General features: G+C 41.3%; 1 protein-coding gene across 9 annotated transcripts in view; it reads right to left on the minus strand.

Annotated features, from left to right (window-relative positions):
* SRGAP2B (SLIT-ROBO Rho GTPase activating protein 2B) overlaps nt 1-17,518 on the minus strand; it is a 208,093-nt gene that overhangs the window by 187,779 nt on the left and 2,796 nt on the right. The window lies entirely within an intron of this gene.

Genomic DNA, 17,518 nt, shown 5'->3' on the forward strand with positions numbered 1-17,518 from the left:
CCCTTTAATAAATATAGCCACATGGAATATAAAATAAAGTTAGATCCCTACCTCACGCTGTTCACGAAAATTTACTCCTTGTTTATTCAAGACGTTATGTGAAAGGCAAAATGTGTAGGTGAAAATATAGAAGAATATCCTTATGATTGTGTGTGTTTGTCTTTTAAATAAATCAAAACAGTAAAGAAAATTAATTTCTTTAACAAAAAGTAAATTTGACTATATTAAATTTGGAATTTCTTTCTTTTTTTTTTTTTTTTTGAGACAGGGTCTCCTTCTGTCACCCAGACTAGGGTGCAGAGGCATGATCACGGCTCACTGCAGCCTTGGCCTCTAGAGCTCAAGTGATCCTCCCACCTCAGCCTCCTGAGTAGCTGGGATTATAGGAGTGCATCACCATGCCCAGCTAACTTATTTGTATTTTTGGTAGAGACAGAGTCTTAATATGTTGCTTCAGCTGGTCTCAAACTCCTGGACTCAAGTGATCCTCCCACCATGGCCTCCCAAAGTGCTGGGATTGCAGGTGTTAGCCACCATGCTTGGACTTGGAATTTCTTATATATCAAATAATTCAATTAAAAGTAAGATGATAAACTAAATCTGGGAGCAGGTATTGCAACCTATAATCGTCAACAATGAGTAAACAGAATATAAAAGGAACATCTACACATCAATTATTAGAAAAAGCAAGATGGCCTAAAAGAGTTGTCTCTAGATTGCAATTTAAGAACTACTCTGAGGCCGGGCACGGTGGCTCACACCTGTAATCCCAGCACTTTGGGAGGCCAAGGTGGGAAGATCACTTGAGGTCAGGAGTTCAAGACCAGCCTGGCCAACACAGTGAAACCCCGTCTCTACTGAAAATACAAAAATTGGCCCAGCGTGGTGGCACGCACCTATAATCCCAGTTACTTGGGAGGAGGCCATATATTATCTCAGTTTATCTATACAACCACCCTGGGATGTAGGCAGAACATATATTATGCCAGTTTCTTGATAAGGAAATTGAAACAACTTAAATGATCAGTCCAAAGGGAGAGAAATATACATGTATCTTCCCTAGTAAGATGCAAAACCTACTTTTCTATCTTCTAATGTACAATCTTGCCATTACAAAAAACTACCTCCATCTTTTTTTTTTTGTAGACAGGATCTCCAAAATGTTGCCCAGGCTCATCTTGAACCCCTGGGCTCAAGAGATTCTCCTGCCTCAGCCTCCAGAGTAGCTGGGACTATAGGTACACATCACCATGCCTGGCTTATCTCTATTTTCTAAAAAATACCTGTATACACAAAAATCTATAATGAATGTTCAGAGCAGCTTCATTCATAACAGCCTAAAATAGGAAACAACCCATATGTCCGAACCATCATACATTCATACCATAGAATACTGCTCAGCAATAAAAAGGGATACACTATTGATATGCACAACAACCTGAATGAGTCTTCAGACACTTGTGCTGAGTGAAAAAAAAAGGCCAATCCTAAAAAGCTACATGCTAATGGTTCCGTTTTTATAATATTCTTGAAATGACAATATTATAAACATGGACAAGAGATTAGTGGTTGCCAGCAGTTAAGGACTAAGGACTAAAGTGGGGTGAGATGAAAGAGTGAACTGGGAGGGGCAGGACTAGAAAAGGACAACATGAGTGATCCTTGCAGTGATGGAACTGTTTAGAATTTTGACTGTATCAATGTCAAGGTCCTGATTATGATACTGTGTTATAGTTTTGCAAGATGTTAACCATCAGAGGAATCTAAGTAACAGGTATGTGCAATCTCTCTGCATTATTTCTTACAACTGCATGTGAATGCATAATTATCTCAAAATAAAATATTAAAAAAAAGAAAAAAAAAAAGGCCGGATATCATCCTGCCCTGTGTTGTACAATTCTGAGGTTAAATGAGATAAAGTATGGCAAGGCACTTTGACTGCCTTGTGCCCTGTAAATACTAGGTAACATCATCATCTTCCTCTATCAACCAGTCTCATCAGCATTACTCACTGTTAGACTATTCCTTATCCACAGAGCCTTCGATATCTCTCTACTATGACCCTATCACTGTACTTGTGTAATCCGATCACCCCTCTTGCTATTGTTTGAATGTCCCCTCCAAAACTCATGTTGAAACTTAATCCCCATGGTGGGGCCTTCAAGAGGTGACTGGATCATGAAGGCATGTCATCATGAATGGATTAATAGATTAATGGGTTATCTTGGCAGTGAAACTAGTGGCTTTTTAAGAAGAGGAAGAGGGACCCGAGCTGGCAAGTTTACACACTCAGCTCCCTCTCTATGTGATATCCTACGCCACCTTGGGACTCTGTGGAGAGTTCCCATCAGCAAGAAGGCCCTCACCAGATTCAGCCCTCAATCTTGGACTTCCCAGCCTCCAGAACCGGAAAAAAAAAATTGTTTCTTTGCAAATTACCCAGTTTCAGGCATTGTGTTATAATCAACAGAAAACGGACTAAGACATTTCTAATAGACTGCAGCTCCTTGAAGGCAGAAACTTTTTTCTGTATCTCTCTATGCCCACAGCTTAGCATAGTATAAAACATATAGGCCAGGTACGGTGGCTCTCGCCTATAATCCCAGCACTTTGGGAGGCTGAGGCAGGCGGATCATGAGGTCAGGAGTTCGAGACCAGCCTGAACAACATGGTGAAACCCTGTCTCTACTAAAAATTTAAAAATTAGCCAGGCGTGGTGGCACGTGCCTGTAATCCCAGCTACTCAGGAGGCTGAGGCAGGAGAATCACTTGAATCCGGGAGTCGGAGGTTGCAGTGAGCCAAGATAACATCACTGCACTCCAGCCTGAGTGACAGAGCAAGACTCTGCCTCAAAAAAAAAAAAAAGACAACATACAGTAGGTGCTAAATAAATGGCTGCCAGGTTGAAATTAGCTCATGATCTTCTTGTTCAATACAAAGTGTCCCAACACTGGAGGAAGTGAGGAGGGGAGGGGACAGGAAAGAAGAACACTCCAGTAGCTATAAGCCAACGCCTTGAAAGTTTCATCAATAGCCTCCTCCTTCCCAAGTTGCTGAGAACCCAAATGAAGCAAATGTCTGTATAGAGGGTGTGGCCACAGCAGCAAAAACATGAGTTCAATTCATCAAGTCTCTTCTTTAAACTATTTCAAGTTCTGCAAATGAAGGAACTGACCATTTATAGATTGGGTCACTGGAACAAGATGGAAAGGTGGGCTGTGGTATACTATTCTGGAAAGGATTTTAAAGGTTAGCTGACAGCCCTTTTCCTGAAATGATTAACACTGAAGAATTGTCCGAGGGCAGAATGTATTTAAATACTCTGTCAAGATCTCTCAGAGATCTGACACTCTCGGCCCAGGCAAACATATTTGGCTAGTGAGGTGGGGAGGGGGTTCCCATGCCCTGAAAACAATGCTAGCTCCTCACTCCTACTCCAAATAGTTTCAAGCATAAAAAAGTACAAGCAGTTGCTTTGCTGCTCCTAACGTTATCGGATAATTTTTCAAATTCTTACTCAATTACATATCACGCTCTTATCTTCAATCTCCACAGGCCAAATAGCCTTGCTTTCACATCGTGCCCACTAAGCCTGCAGAACACAAGTATCCCTCCCAAGTAATTCCAGCTCTCATAAACATGAGATCATTTTACATTAAGTTTTGTTAGAGTATTTGTGTGTATGGTGTTTGTGTGCGTGCGTGCACACGCGCATGCATAAGTGTGCATATGCCTTTTCTTCTAATAAGAGTAAGGAGATTTAACGCAAGAGAAGGTTAGAAACTTGGGAGGTTTCTGTCTCTGCTTAATGATTAACTCTTTTGCTACTGAATCCAGAAGAGCTGGCCTTTCTGGACTGGCAGTCCCACTCCCTGGCCAAAACAGCAAAAGAAAGCTCATACGCACACATTCACTCTTAGAAAGAAGTAACCAGCACAAATCGGTTTCAGCTTTGGCAGTGAGAACACTATTGCAGTTTTAAGGAGAATTAGGTGTTTCCATATTGTGTTGTTACTGGCCTTAAAATATCCAGATCAAGAACCTCATTAATCAAAGTAACACGTCATCTACCCAAAATGCTTCAATGTTTGATTTAAAATTGCTGACAGCAAAGAACTGAGATAACTTACATAACCACAAATCACTGAAAAAGAGAGATCAGGAGATACAGCACAACGGACTCTAAAAATGGCTAAAAACACAAAGCCTAATTAATGTCATTTAAAGATGAAACCTTTAAGAAGAAAACAAAGAAAAAAAAAAAAAGATGAAACCTTAAACCAGAAGTAGAAGAGGGGAGTAGGAAGAACCTGTGCTATCTATTCTCTGGTTTCTATCCTTCCCCCAGGACAATAATCAACATCTAGACTCTATGTGACAACTCACTTAACAATAGCCATTTTTTGTTCATATGTCCTAAAAATCATGAAGCTAGGAACTAGTAATCCATCTTTCCACTTTCCAGCTGAGAAGCTGAGAATCCCAAAGGTGGAATGACATCTTCAACATTACATAGCTGGTCCTCCATTACCCTACATTTCTTCCTCCCTATGAATGATATTTTTTAAATGCTGTAATGATAAAAATATGAGCTGTCATTATTATTAATAGTACTCATTTAAAACAACAGACTATTACTAGCCTATTCATTAGGCGAAAGGAAAACAAACATAAACATGAAAACATTTCAATTCCACATTACAGCATGCTTCATCACAATCCTCAAAGAAATCCTTAGTTGACAAAAGGCCTAATACATAAAGAGCAATGTAAGAGGCAAGAGGCCACTCCACATCCTAAAAGAGCCTGAAGTCACTTCCCGAACAACCCAGATGTCTAGATCAACCCTATACCAGTTCCATAACCACACTGCCTCCCCCAGGTTTGTCCCAGACCAGATGTCAGAGATTACGAGCCTCCCACTTCCTTATTTCTTTAATTTTCATTAAGGACAATCAATCAACTTCCTTTTTCTTTTAAATTTAAGTACTGCACACAACAACATAAATATCTGTAATACTAAGAGTTACACAAATTCCATTTCTGACCTACCAACATGGATGGGGAAAACCATACAAACCAGTTACAGCAGGGAATCTTCTAACTCTAGAAGTCTCTGAGCTTACTGGAAGTCCAAAGTTTAATAGTTATCCTGATTAAAACATCCTGATTAAAGTGATCCAGTCACAAGTTCACCTGTAGGCCCATCAAGTAACTCTCTCTCCCCTCGATTTTTCTCCAGCTGTGAGGCACATCTTCCTACTAGATCGTGATACTTCAACAAGTATCACTTCAACTGCTCTCCAGGCCAGCTGCCACTCTGGTACTACCTACCACCTGGGGCCTACCCTCCATAAGTGTGCAGCAGCCATGCAGGCATGGCAAGTTCTGGGGGTGGAAAGAATGTCATTCAGAGAATATAATGGTTTTTGTACTTCAAAGTGTGTCTACTTAAAAGGGACAAATCATCATCTTCAACATCTTTTTTGTTGTTTGTTTTTGAGACGGAGTCTTGCTCTGTCACCTAGGCTGGAGTGCAATGGTGCGATCTGGGCTCACTGCAACCTCCGCATCCCAGGTTCAAGCAATTCTCCTGCCTCAGGCTCCCAAGTAGCTAAGATAAATTACAGGCGCCCGCCACCATGCCCAGCTAACTTTTGTATTTTTAATAGAGACAGGGTTTCACCATGTTGGCCAGGCTGGTCTTGAACTCCTGACCTTAGGTGATCCGCCTGCCTCGGCCTCCCAAAGTGCTGGGATTACAGGCTTGAGGCACCCAGCCAGGCCGATCTTCAACGTATTAATAAGCAAAAATAATGAACCCTGAAAGCTGGAAGGACCTTAGAAAGTTTCTAATGTTTAACCCCTAGTATTTTAGATGAGAATACCAAGGCATAGGGAGGTACAGTAGGTATGTAACAGAAAGACATTTAAAACACTGCATTAATTCTTTATTGTACCAAGTTACTAGGAAATGAGGACAATCAACTGAGTGTGTACAGCATCTCATAGTTTCAACTGAATTCTTTCATTTCAGCTTCACACCAGTGTTAAGTCAGCTTAGGTTCATAATCTGTCCTCATCACTTACTAGCCATGTGCTTCAGAGCAAGTTATTTAACCTCACTGTGCGTCATCTGTAAAATGGGGATAATAATAGCAGCTACCTCACAGGACTGTTGAGAAATTCATGAGTTCATATATGTAAAGCACCTAAAACAGAGCTGAGACATAAGAAGCACTTGATAAACGCTAACCATCATCACCATCATTATTATAAGGGCCAAGAATTGTTGTTCCCATCTTACAGGGATTTTATAGGGAAACTAGGGATTTTGAGACCTTAGGTGAGTTATCTCCAAAATCATGGCAGCCAATGACAAAGCTAAACTAGAACCCAAGCTTTCTGCCTCCCAATCCAGCACTTTCCCTTAGGATCATTCTGCCTGTGTAGAATCCTGTAGCTCAACGCGTAACAAAGTACTGTATTGGCCCAAAAGAAATGTTGCTCCAGAATAGGTACCTCAGTCAAGATGTCTTCCCAAAGAGCAGCTTACTCATCTGACAAGCTCTGGTGCAGTATCTCCACCGCCTACCAAAATAATAAACACACACACACACAAAATCTAATGGGGAAAGGAAGCAGATTTCTAAGGGATTTCAATGTTTGGAGAAGAGTTGGCAACAGCCAACTCTTCAGAAACAAGACATATTTCTTAAAGCTTATGGCATGGCTTGTCATGGCCAGCTCATGCTCTTAAGTCCCTTTGTTTTCTGTGCTTTGTCCTCCTGTGGAGCCCTGGCCACCCAGCCACCCATGGCTGCCAGGGTCATCTTCTCCAGGGAGAGTATTCAGATCCTGCCCACCATGCCATGATTCTAAATGCAAGATCTGGGCTCAAACAGCAAAGATAAGGTCCCAACTTTCACAGTGATTTCTGGGTCACCTCTCCACTGATTAATGCATTTAGAAGATATGGTTAAGAAAAACAAACAAACAAACAAACAAACAAACAAAAAAAACAAAGAGAATATGCCTTCTTCCTAAAGGATGATATCCTAAAATATACACCAAAATGGAGGAACATGCCCCAACTGTTTTTCCTTCCTCACGAATACATATTTCAAGTTCAGAACCATTCATTCACAACGTATAAATAAGGTCAAGGGTATTTCATACCAAATGACTTGAAAAACCATAAGGGACCATTTTCCTGCTTGTTCCTTAGGACCTCTCCTTCCCCATTTACCAAAGATCTCACAGCTGCTTCTAACCAGGCAATAGCTCTCTCCACACCGTGCTTTGAAAAAGGAACAAAACAGTTCCTTTTTCAGGTCAACCCAGTTTTAACTCCAGGTCAAGACAGACAAACTTTCTCAAACTTAGACTTTTAGTGCCTGATTAAAATGGTGAATAAATCCTAGACAAATGTACAATGTGTTTTTGCTTCAATTACAGAAAGCCTTATGTTTGTTTTAAACTCTCGGGAATTTCAGTGTTAACATTTTTCTTGGTTTCCAAGGTGAGAGATGTGACTGAAGAAATTTGGTCAAAGCAAGTATAGCTCTAGGGCAGTGACTCTAAAGAGGGCAGTGATTCTAAAGAGGGCTGTGCCAGCAATAAATTTAAGGAGAAACACACCCCCGTGGGGGAGGATCCATAAGGCTATGTAGTTTGTACTTGTCCTTGTATAATGCAAATATATTCACAAAGTTTAATCTATATCAAATTTCAAATAATATTAACATAGGGCATGGGTTTCTTACTGGAGTCGGGGAGAAATGCAGAAGCGTGCCATCATGGCACTATCACATCCAAACTCAACTCAGAAGACAGTTCAATTCAACTTATAAACATTGTAGTGCTTACTATGTGTCAGGAGCTGGACATGCAGAAATGAATAAAAGACCATTCTTTCCTGAAGGTGCTCAGTGAGTTGTAAACAAAGAGATGTAAATGAAGAGATCGCAATGTAATATGATGAGTGCAATAATACAAGAGTGTACAAAGACACTGCAGAGGAGATGCTGAGAGCGTACTGATGAACTCTGTACAGAAGGCAAGGGGAGATGCTGAGGAATCCTGCTTGGGATCCCGCACAGGGGAGCAGGGAAGGCTTCCTGGAGGGGTGGCATCTGAGCTGCTTTAAAGGTTGAATAAGTTTTACAGGTTCAAGGAAGAGGACCCATTCCAAAGAGAGGGCACAGCATGGATACAGCACAAACCATGACACAACATGATAAAGAAAGGAAACTAGAGGCAGTTCAGCTGTAAGGCAGTATAAAATGTAAGCAGGGTAAGTGGGAAGTGATTAATATTAACAGTCTTTTATGCTACGATGTTAGCAAAAAAAAAATGAGTTTTTAAAAATCACTCTGGTGACATTGTGCAAGATACAGTGTCAAGATACAATTAAACTATTTCTAAAAGATTATTTGTAGTAGTTAGGTCATCCATTCATTCAGTACTACAGACAGTAAGTGTTTACTGAGAGCCACCATTTGAGCTACAATAGTCTTCCAGACACGTTTCCTATCTGAAGGGACCTTATAATAAGCTATTTATTTAGCATTTAATATTTGCCATACACTGAGCCAGTACTCTTAACACAACTGCAATTAATAGCAAGGCAGGTCTCATTATCTCCACATCACAGAAAAGGAGGCTTGGAAGAGAAGTTGAGTGACTTCAGCAAGGTCACACAGCAAGGAGGTGATGCTGACAAGACTCCAACTGAGGGCTGGTTCCAGAGCCTGTATTCTTTGCATTGCACTACACAACTTCAAAACATTCCTACATTCAGAAGTCTGGTAGAAGAAAAAAGAATGAAATACAAATATTCCAAACATAAGGCAGTATGAGATCAATGCCATATGAGATCTATTAAGAGAAGCACTATGTGGGTGAAATAGAGAGAAGGGTTATTTCTGGTCAGAGCAATTAAGGAAGGAATCCCAGAAACGTTGGGCTTTACCAGAAAGGTGAGATTTCTTTCTTTCTTTTCTTTTTTTTTTTTTTTTTTTGAGATGGAGTTTCACTCTTGTTGCCCAGGCTGGAGTGCAAGGGCACGATCTCGGCTCACAGCAACCTCCAACTCCTGGGTTCCAGCCATTCTCCTGCCTCAGCCTCCCAAGTAGCTGGGATTACGGGCAAGTGCCACCACCCTCAGCTAATTCTACATTGTAAGTAGAGACAGCGTTTCACCATGTTGGTCAGGCTGGTCTCGAACTCCCGACCTCAGGTGATCCACTGCCCCCAGCAGAAGGATGAGATTTCAATAGGTGAAGATACGGGACTGCGCAGCGAAAAAGGGGCATTTCATGAGCAACACGTAGAACTTAGACTCTGGCGACAACCAAGGTTCCTATTCCATTATTCACCAGCTGCAGACCCTGGAGAAATAACTGAATGTCCTACACCTCACTTTTTTCATCAGTAAAATGGGATACTAGTAACATCTTTTTCCTAAAGTTGGAGTAAGGATTATGGAATAATCTATATAAAGTATTTAGCATAATGCTTAGTAAGTGGTAAACATCCAACAGACAGCAAATGTTAGCTAGTAGTCTGTTTAAAGAATGGTAAGCAGTCAAGTTAGGCTTCCAGTCCTCTTAAAGCAAAATAAGAAATGTGGTCGAAACAATAGGTTGCAGTCAGATTGAGAATGAAGTTCATGTCTACCTTAGAAAGTTGGTCTGTATTTAGCAGGCAATAGGGAGTCAATCATTAGAAGAAAGAAGCCATATTAAGAACATTCTGAGTAGATCTCCAGTGGGAGCCCCTAGCCCCTCTCCTTGACATCTGGCTTATTTGTGACCCCTTCTAAAAAGGCATGAGGCCCTAGGACTAGTTCAGGCCAGATCTATTTTTTCATTTGCTTGTTTTTTGTTTTTGAGATGGAGGCTTGCTCTGTCACCCAGGCTAGAGTGCAGTGGCATGATCTCGGCTCACTGCAACCTCTGCCTCTTGGATTCAAGCGATTCTCCTCCCTCAGCCTCCTGAGTAGCTGGGATTACAGGCACCCACCACCACGCCCAGCTAATTTTTGTATTTTTGTAGAGATGAGGTTTTGCCATGTTGGCCAGGCTGGTCTCGAACTCCTGACCTCAGGTGATCCATCTGCCTCGGCCTCTCAAAGTGCTGGGATTACAGATGTAAGCCACCACACCCAGCCAAGCCAACTCTATATGGAAACAGACACTGTCATTTGTCCACTCCTAACATGGCCATGATTTTTTTTCTTTTCTTTCTCACTCCATCCTGTACCTTCCCTCCTAAAAGCAGAGTAATGGCTGAGACACAATTATTAGCCTGACTTCCCTTGGAGATTGTCTTGGTTAAACAAATTTTCCAGAAACTAATCTGGGTAGCTTAGATCATTATTTATTTGTTACTTTTTAAAATTTGTTAATACCAGGCTTTCACTTAGTTATCTTGAAGTTAATGCCTCTTCTATAACATAATTATTAGCTCTATCACCTAGGCTAGACTGCAATGGTGCAATCAATCATGGCTCCCTGCAATCTCGAACTCCTGGGCTCAAGCAATTCTCCTGCTTCATCATCCTAAGAGAGCCTAGGACTACAGGTATGTGCCATCACACCCAGATAATTTTTTTTTGAAATGGAGTCTCGCTCTTGTTGCCCAGGCTGCAGTGCAATGGCGAGATCTCAGCTCATTGCAACCTCTGCCTCCCAGGTTCAAGTGATTCTTGTGCCTCAGCCTCCCGTATAGCTGGGATTACAGGTGCCTGCCACCACACCCGGCTAATTTTTTTATTTTTAGTAGAGACAGAGTTTCACCATATTGGCCAGGCTGGTCTTAAACTCCTGACCTCAGGTGATCTGCCCACCTCCCAAAATCCTGGGATTACAGGCGTAAGCCACCGTGCCCAGCCAGGTTTTTGTTTTTTGTTTTTTTTTCTTGCAAAGATGGGGTCCCACTATGTTTCCCAGTTTGGTCTTGAACTCCTGGGCTCAAGCAATCCTCCCACCTTGGCCTCCCAAAGTGCTGGAATTACAGATATGAGCCACTGTGCCTGGCCAATAGTACTGGTTTATTAATACATTATAATGAAGAAACTTTGGGGGTAATGATTACATTCACTATCTTGATTGTGCTGGTTTCATGGGTATTATATATGTCAAAGCCTATCAAATTGTATACCTTAAATATGTGCAATTTATTAAATGTCAATTAAATCTCAATAAAGCTATTAAAAATATGGTAAAAGTTTAGTAATTCATGTAATTATTAAAAGGTGTACAACTTTATAATTAATAATATACTAATATACAAGCTAATGCACATATTAAAACCTTAAATTTAAAAAATTTATCAGGACAAGTGATTATATAGAAATGTATATACAGGCTTGTAAAACTTTGGTATAGTGTACCTTTTAAAAAAAAAATAACCAGCCTGGGCAATGTAGGGAGACTTCATCTCTACAAAAAATTTTAAAACTAGCTGGGTGTGGTGGCATGTGCCTATAGCCCCAGCTACTTCGGAGGCTGAGGTGGGAGGATCACTTGAGCCCAGGAGGTCAAGGCTGCAGTGAGCCGTGATCAAGCCACTGCAATCCAGCCTGGGTGACAGAGTGAGACCCCATCTGAAAAAAAAAAAAAAAAAAAGAAAAAAGAACACCCCTATGTTACACCTATGTTCACAGCAGCATTATTCAAAATAGGCAAAAGGTGGAAACAACCCAAGTGTTCATCAATGAACGAATGGGTAAACAAAATGGGGTATATACATACAATTAAATATTATTCAACCTTAAAAAAGAAAGAAATTTGGACATATGCTACAACATGGATGAACTTTGAGGACATTATAGGAAGTGAAATAAGCCAGTAACAAAAAATATATACAATATGATTCCACTTACCTGCAGTATCTGGAGTTATCAAATAGAGACAAAGTACAATGGTGCTTGCCAGAGACAGGGGCAGGAGGGAATAGGGAGCTGTTGTTTAATGGGTATAAAGTTTCAGTTTTGCAAGATGAAAAGAGTCATTTAGATGGATGGTAGTGATGGCTGCACAACAATGTGAATGTACTTAATGCTACTGAACTGTACTCTAGAATGGTTAAGATGGTCAACCTCCTGTGTATTCTACCACAATTACAGAGAGTAAGGGAGATATGAGAGTTCCTACACATTATTGTAAAATCAGTAAGGGTGTTAATTTTGTAATTTTTTAAAATGATTTTAAGTGCTGTTATTACTTATGTTTAAACCTAACAACTTCCAAGGCAACTTTCCCAGATTCCCCAAAAAGTCAATTCTGGAGCTGACACCAGGTTAAAACTGCTAATTTTATTACTACCAGAAATCTACATATCAACTGCTTTTTCCCTGCAATATGACATATTTTCCTAATGTAGCTGTCAGAGGTCAAGGGTATAAGGTAAGCACAATTCCCATGAAGCATTCTCACTTCTGGAAGGACAACTCTACAGGTGCCACTGGGTAGCCCAGTTTATCTGGAGTGAATAATGGGAGTCAGGGTCTGGGTACCTGCTGATTTTAATAGTGAGGGCGCCTACATACTGCAGCCAGGTCCATCTCTGGACACCTCATAGCAGAGAAATCATCAGAGCCTGTCTAAGTTTTCAACCTGCATGATACATAACGGATGTGGCCACAATTACCAGATAGGCTTCTTCAAAGGAAATTTCTGTTCTCATTCCCCAAGAACACCTGAAATTGAAAAAGCTAAGGACCCCTCATGAACACTGTTTCCAACTACTGCTTCTTTGCACAGTACACTGCATCCCCTGGCTCCTTGCCTACCACCTTCCTCTAGGGTCTTTCAATTGCAAGATGCAGAGTATGGTACTTGAAAGTTTCCAAGAGTTTCATTTTCTTCCAGGAGTTCACCTTACTGCTGCAGAGTAGCTTTTTTTGTTGCTGTTTTTTCCCCTGAGCAAGGGACAGGAGCCCTCAATCATCTTGCAGGAAAATGATAGCATCTGCTTGAGGATTCCAACTAAATGTTTTACTGCAGCTTTTCAAACTGACTATATTTAACTGATTATATTTAAAACTGATTAACTGATTATATTTAAAGCTCCCTTGGGGAATGGGAGCTGTGAGGAAAGAAGCTTTGGAGAAGACCTTTGTTGGCATGAATGAAAAATTGCTCAGACCTCCCAAGGGAAAGAGCTTGTTTATATACCAGCCATCAACATTCCCAAGTATATATACATACACAATACGACTCCAGTTTTAAATTTCATCTCCTGCTCTTGAAGGGTCCTGAAAGGGTTAAACTGTTCCAAGCAAAGGCCTGCACTTTTTCTATCAAAATGCTCCAGATGGAAATTACAAAATTTCGCTTCCAGCTCTGTGGTGCACACACACTGTTCTCCTAAGACATTAAAAAAAAAAAAAAGACAAGACCCCTAATGTTCTCGAGAAAGAAAATGTGACTGCTCAGCATACAGTGCCACCCTGTTTCAGACTATTTCTTCTGGAATATTTGCATGAACTGTCAATCTCAAGCTTTCTGGGAGACTGTAAAAACTCAAGGTATAGAGAGGGTAAAGGAAAGGGGCCTTAAATAAGGAAAGAACAATAGCTGGGACTGTATACAGTCATGTGTATTCACCCAAATACCACCCAGATTCACAACCCTGGTAACCATGCCCTGCACCTTACCACCTTCGCTGCTCCAATCCCAGCAACAAGCTAACAGGCTAGAGGCCAAAGGCTTCAGTTTATGACCATGAATCTGACCAGGGTTGTAAAGAATTTCCAGAGATTAATGTACATCAGCCCTCCCCATACCTGCAGGTTCCATATCTGCAGATTCAACCAAATGGGAATGGAAAATATTCAAGAAAAAAAAAAAAACAATAAAAATACCAATACAACAATTTAAAATAATACAAATTTTAAAAGCAGTATAACAACTATTTACATAGCATTTACACTGTATTAGGTATTATAAGTAATCTAGAGATGATTTAAAGTATACAGAAGGATGTGTGTACATAGGTTATACGTAAATACCACACCATTATTTATCAGGGACTTGAGCATCTGCAGATTTTGGTATCCTGAGGGAAGTGGGGGTAGTCCTTGAACCAATCCCCTGAGGATACTGACGGACAACTACATATAAAAGCATAATGTAAATTGGAAAGAGCTATGTAAAAAGACTAAGAATATTATTGCTTTCAAGTCAGACATTGAGAGGCATGAACTTTCCAAGGAATGTGGGCACCCACAAACCTGAAACAATGATGGTTTTTAAGAAGACACTACAAGGCAGGCTGACTAAGGAGGCACACCCCTCATAAAACCACTCTGGGGTAGGGTTGGGGCTGAAGCCTCAGGAGTTCCTCAGGGCACATGCAAGCAGGTGGTTTATAGGGAGGCAAAAATCAAGGGATAGGTAGGGTCCCAGAAAGTCCCATGAGATGAGGGTCCCATTTAGAGTCCATTTGACTCAAACAATTCTGATTGAAAAAACAGGACCTGGGACTCTGGTCAAAGACAGGCCGAACCACAGTGGCCAATAATTAGTTTACTTGTTCACTGACAGAAAAAGAAACTGATGTCCAGAGGGTTTAAGTGACTGACCCAAGATGTTTTGTTACGACTAAATGATCTTAAGCTAGAACTTAAGTTTCATTCCTTACTTATTTCCTATCATTTAATAGCTGGCACTTTGGGAGTGAATATGCAATGCAGCCTCAATAGTCAGCCCAATTCAGCAAAAGAAAGGCTCACAGAGAAGTAGACCGTACCATTATTGAGCACTTACAAGTGCAAGATACTGTTCTAAATAATTTATATATCTCATCAACAACTCACTACTATCTTAGGAAATGTATTTTATTTTACCCATTTTCCAAATAAGGAAACTGAGGCTCAGACAAGTCATGTAACTTGCCTGAAGTGAAAGGCTATCTACTGGCAGAACCAAGATTTAAACCTGAATCACTTTGACTCTAAAAATTGCACTTAACAACCAAACCAAACTGCATAGCTGTTACAGCAATTTTCTTTTTATCTTGGCATCTGTAAGAGAAGTCTGGCAGCACCATGAGTCCCATATAACACACAAAAAGCTGACACTCATAATAATTCTGACCCAGGGCTTCTAGCTAGTGGGGGGCAGAGCCAAACCAGATCGCAGGCCCTTTGTCTCCAAATTCTGTGCTGTTCCATAGAGAGCCCAGCTTCCAGAATATAAGCTCCACGAGGGTAGAGACTTTTTCTTCTTCACAGCTGTATGGCCAATCGCCAGAACACACAGCAAGCACTCAATAAATAGTTAATGAATAAAGGAATGAAGTCAAGCTGCCATGGTTTGGCTGTGTGACCTTGGAAGGGCTTCTCATCCTCTCTAAGCCTCAGTTTCCTTATATGGTGAATGGAAGGTGACAATAATACCCATTCCCTGGGTTGAGGTAAGGATTAAACCAGACCATTCATTTAAAGCACTTGGGATGGACTGGAACATAATGAGCAACCAAAATGTAATCTATTATCATTATCATTATTACTATCATTATTCATTGACAGATTTGGGCTCCTTAAGAATTTTTTATTTTTTTCCACCCTGGTCAGATGATGTTTCATAGTAAAGATACAGAATAGAGAATTGAGAGTTGGTAAATCTGCTTCTAGTTTCAGATCTGCCACCATCTAGCCGTGTGACCTTGGACAAGCCTCTTCAGTTCTCTGTATTCTCCTCAGCTGTAAAATGAAGGACTAAACTATTCAAATCAGTTCCATAAGCATTCATCAGGCACCTTCTCGGAGTAAGACATCATGCTCAGCCACCTATAAAATTCTATGATCCTGAATAGTATCAATGGGAAAATATCAGAGCAAAGCAAAATAGTCTGTTTGTGGCAAGGTTGAAGAGAGAACCCAAATAGCCGACTGCATTACCTCATCTCAATGAGCAATGTTTGTAAATATCCAAAGTGTTTAATTTTGAGACACTCTTGAGAAATCCTTTGCCAATAAGAAATTGGCAGATATGGTTCTATTAACACCTATCAGCCTTGAACCTTCCAAAAATTAAACATTTAAAGTCACTTTGCACCTTAGTCAAATGGCGTGCTTCTGGAGAGAAATCTGGGAAGATCAAAGTTATTAACACTCCCGATGGCAACAGTTTAAGAATAGGATGTGTTAAAAAAAAAAAAAAAAAAAAAAGACATATCTGGTTAAAACTGCAGGGGGGATTCCAAGAGCAAATGCAATGCATCTGGACAGGACATGGAGGCCAGTGGCCTATTGTTTACAAAAACAGGCCTGGATTATGAACAGTGACAAGAGGCCAAGACCTCAATAATAACTCACAACCACACCTCTCTCAATCCCAGTTCAACTGAAGCTATCAATCAGTCAACTCCCCCATCTCTGTAATAAACCTACCAATATTTGCAGCCAAGTGGATAGAAGGCCCCTTAGGGCACCTCCAGCACTGACCAAACTAATGACATAAAAAAGATCCTGTAGGTACAATGAGGACTTCAGACTACCTTCCAACCTTCCAAGAGATAAGGGAGCTGCCCATTTCAAACTCTACGCCTACCCCCACCCCCCAGCAATCATTAGAGGGGAGCCATGGCCCTTCCCAAGTCCTCTCTGATAGGAAAAGGTCTCCTTGCACTGGTGCAGGGAAAGGAGGGGCCCCTCCCTCTGTACTCTGAAACAAAGGAAAACCCAGAGCTCCAACCATGTGGTGTAACATTCAAGGCCACCCACCTCTTCCACTCCCCAGCTAAGGTCTCAATGGGCTGGAGCCACATGGCTCTTTCCAGTGACTGACCAGGAAAGGACAGTGCCTTGCACAAACACATGCTGCAGCTCTTTAACAGGCAGGAACCCTTCCTATGGGAATTGCTGGTTTAAAAAACGCTATCTGAGTAAGGGCTCTTATTCATGAGTCAAGTCAGTCGACTAGATGAGAAGACAGGTCACTTGGTTTCTCCTAGTCCACACTTTGCTTTACCCTTCACATTTTTCAGGAGAGGGAAATGGGGCTTTAAAAGCATGTCTTCCGGAGCAGAGGGCCACAGCACAGAAGGGTTAAACAATTATGTCTTCCCATTTTCCAGAATCAGCACCAACCGGCTACCCTAACATCCTCCCAACTCTATTCAGATTTAGGTGAGGGCGGAGACCGGGCGTGGGTGGCCTTATTCTCTGATCTCTGATTGTATGCAGGCCGACCAGAGACCAGGCAGGTACAAGGTACACCCAAGGTGGCAATGGACTTTTGGTGCCAATGCCATTGCAAATCTCATGTTTTAATATAGTGCATCCAAAAAACCCCGCCTCTCCCAAGGCTCTCCAAATGGTACACCTTCCCAAGGTTGCCTTTCTGTCTGGACTCCTCTTCAATCTCTGAAACAAATGTCCAAACACCTGTCAGATTTCAGTTGTCTTTCAAGGAAACCTGACCCAGAGAACCGGAGGCAAACTGCCTTTCTCTAAGAGCCTCCTGCCCCTCCCCCCACCCTGCCCGGCTTGGGGGGAAAGGG

Source organism: Homo sapiens, chromosome 1 (genome assembly GCF_000001405.40).
Source record: "Homo sapiens chromosome 1, GRCh38.p14 Primary Assembly".
NCBI lineage: Eukaryota > Metazoa > Chordata > Mammalia > Primates > Hominidae > Homo > Homo sapiens.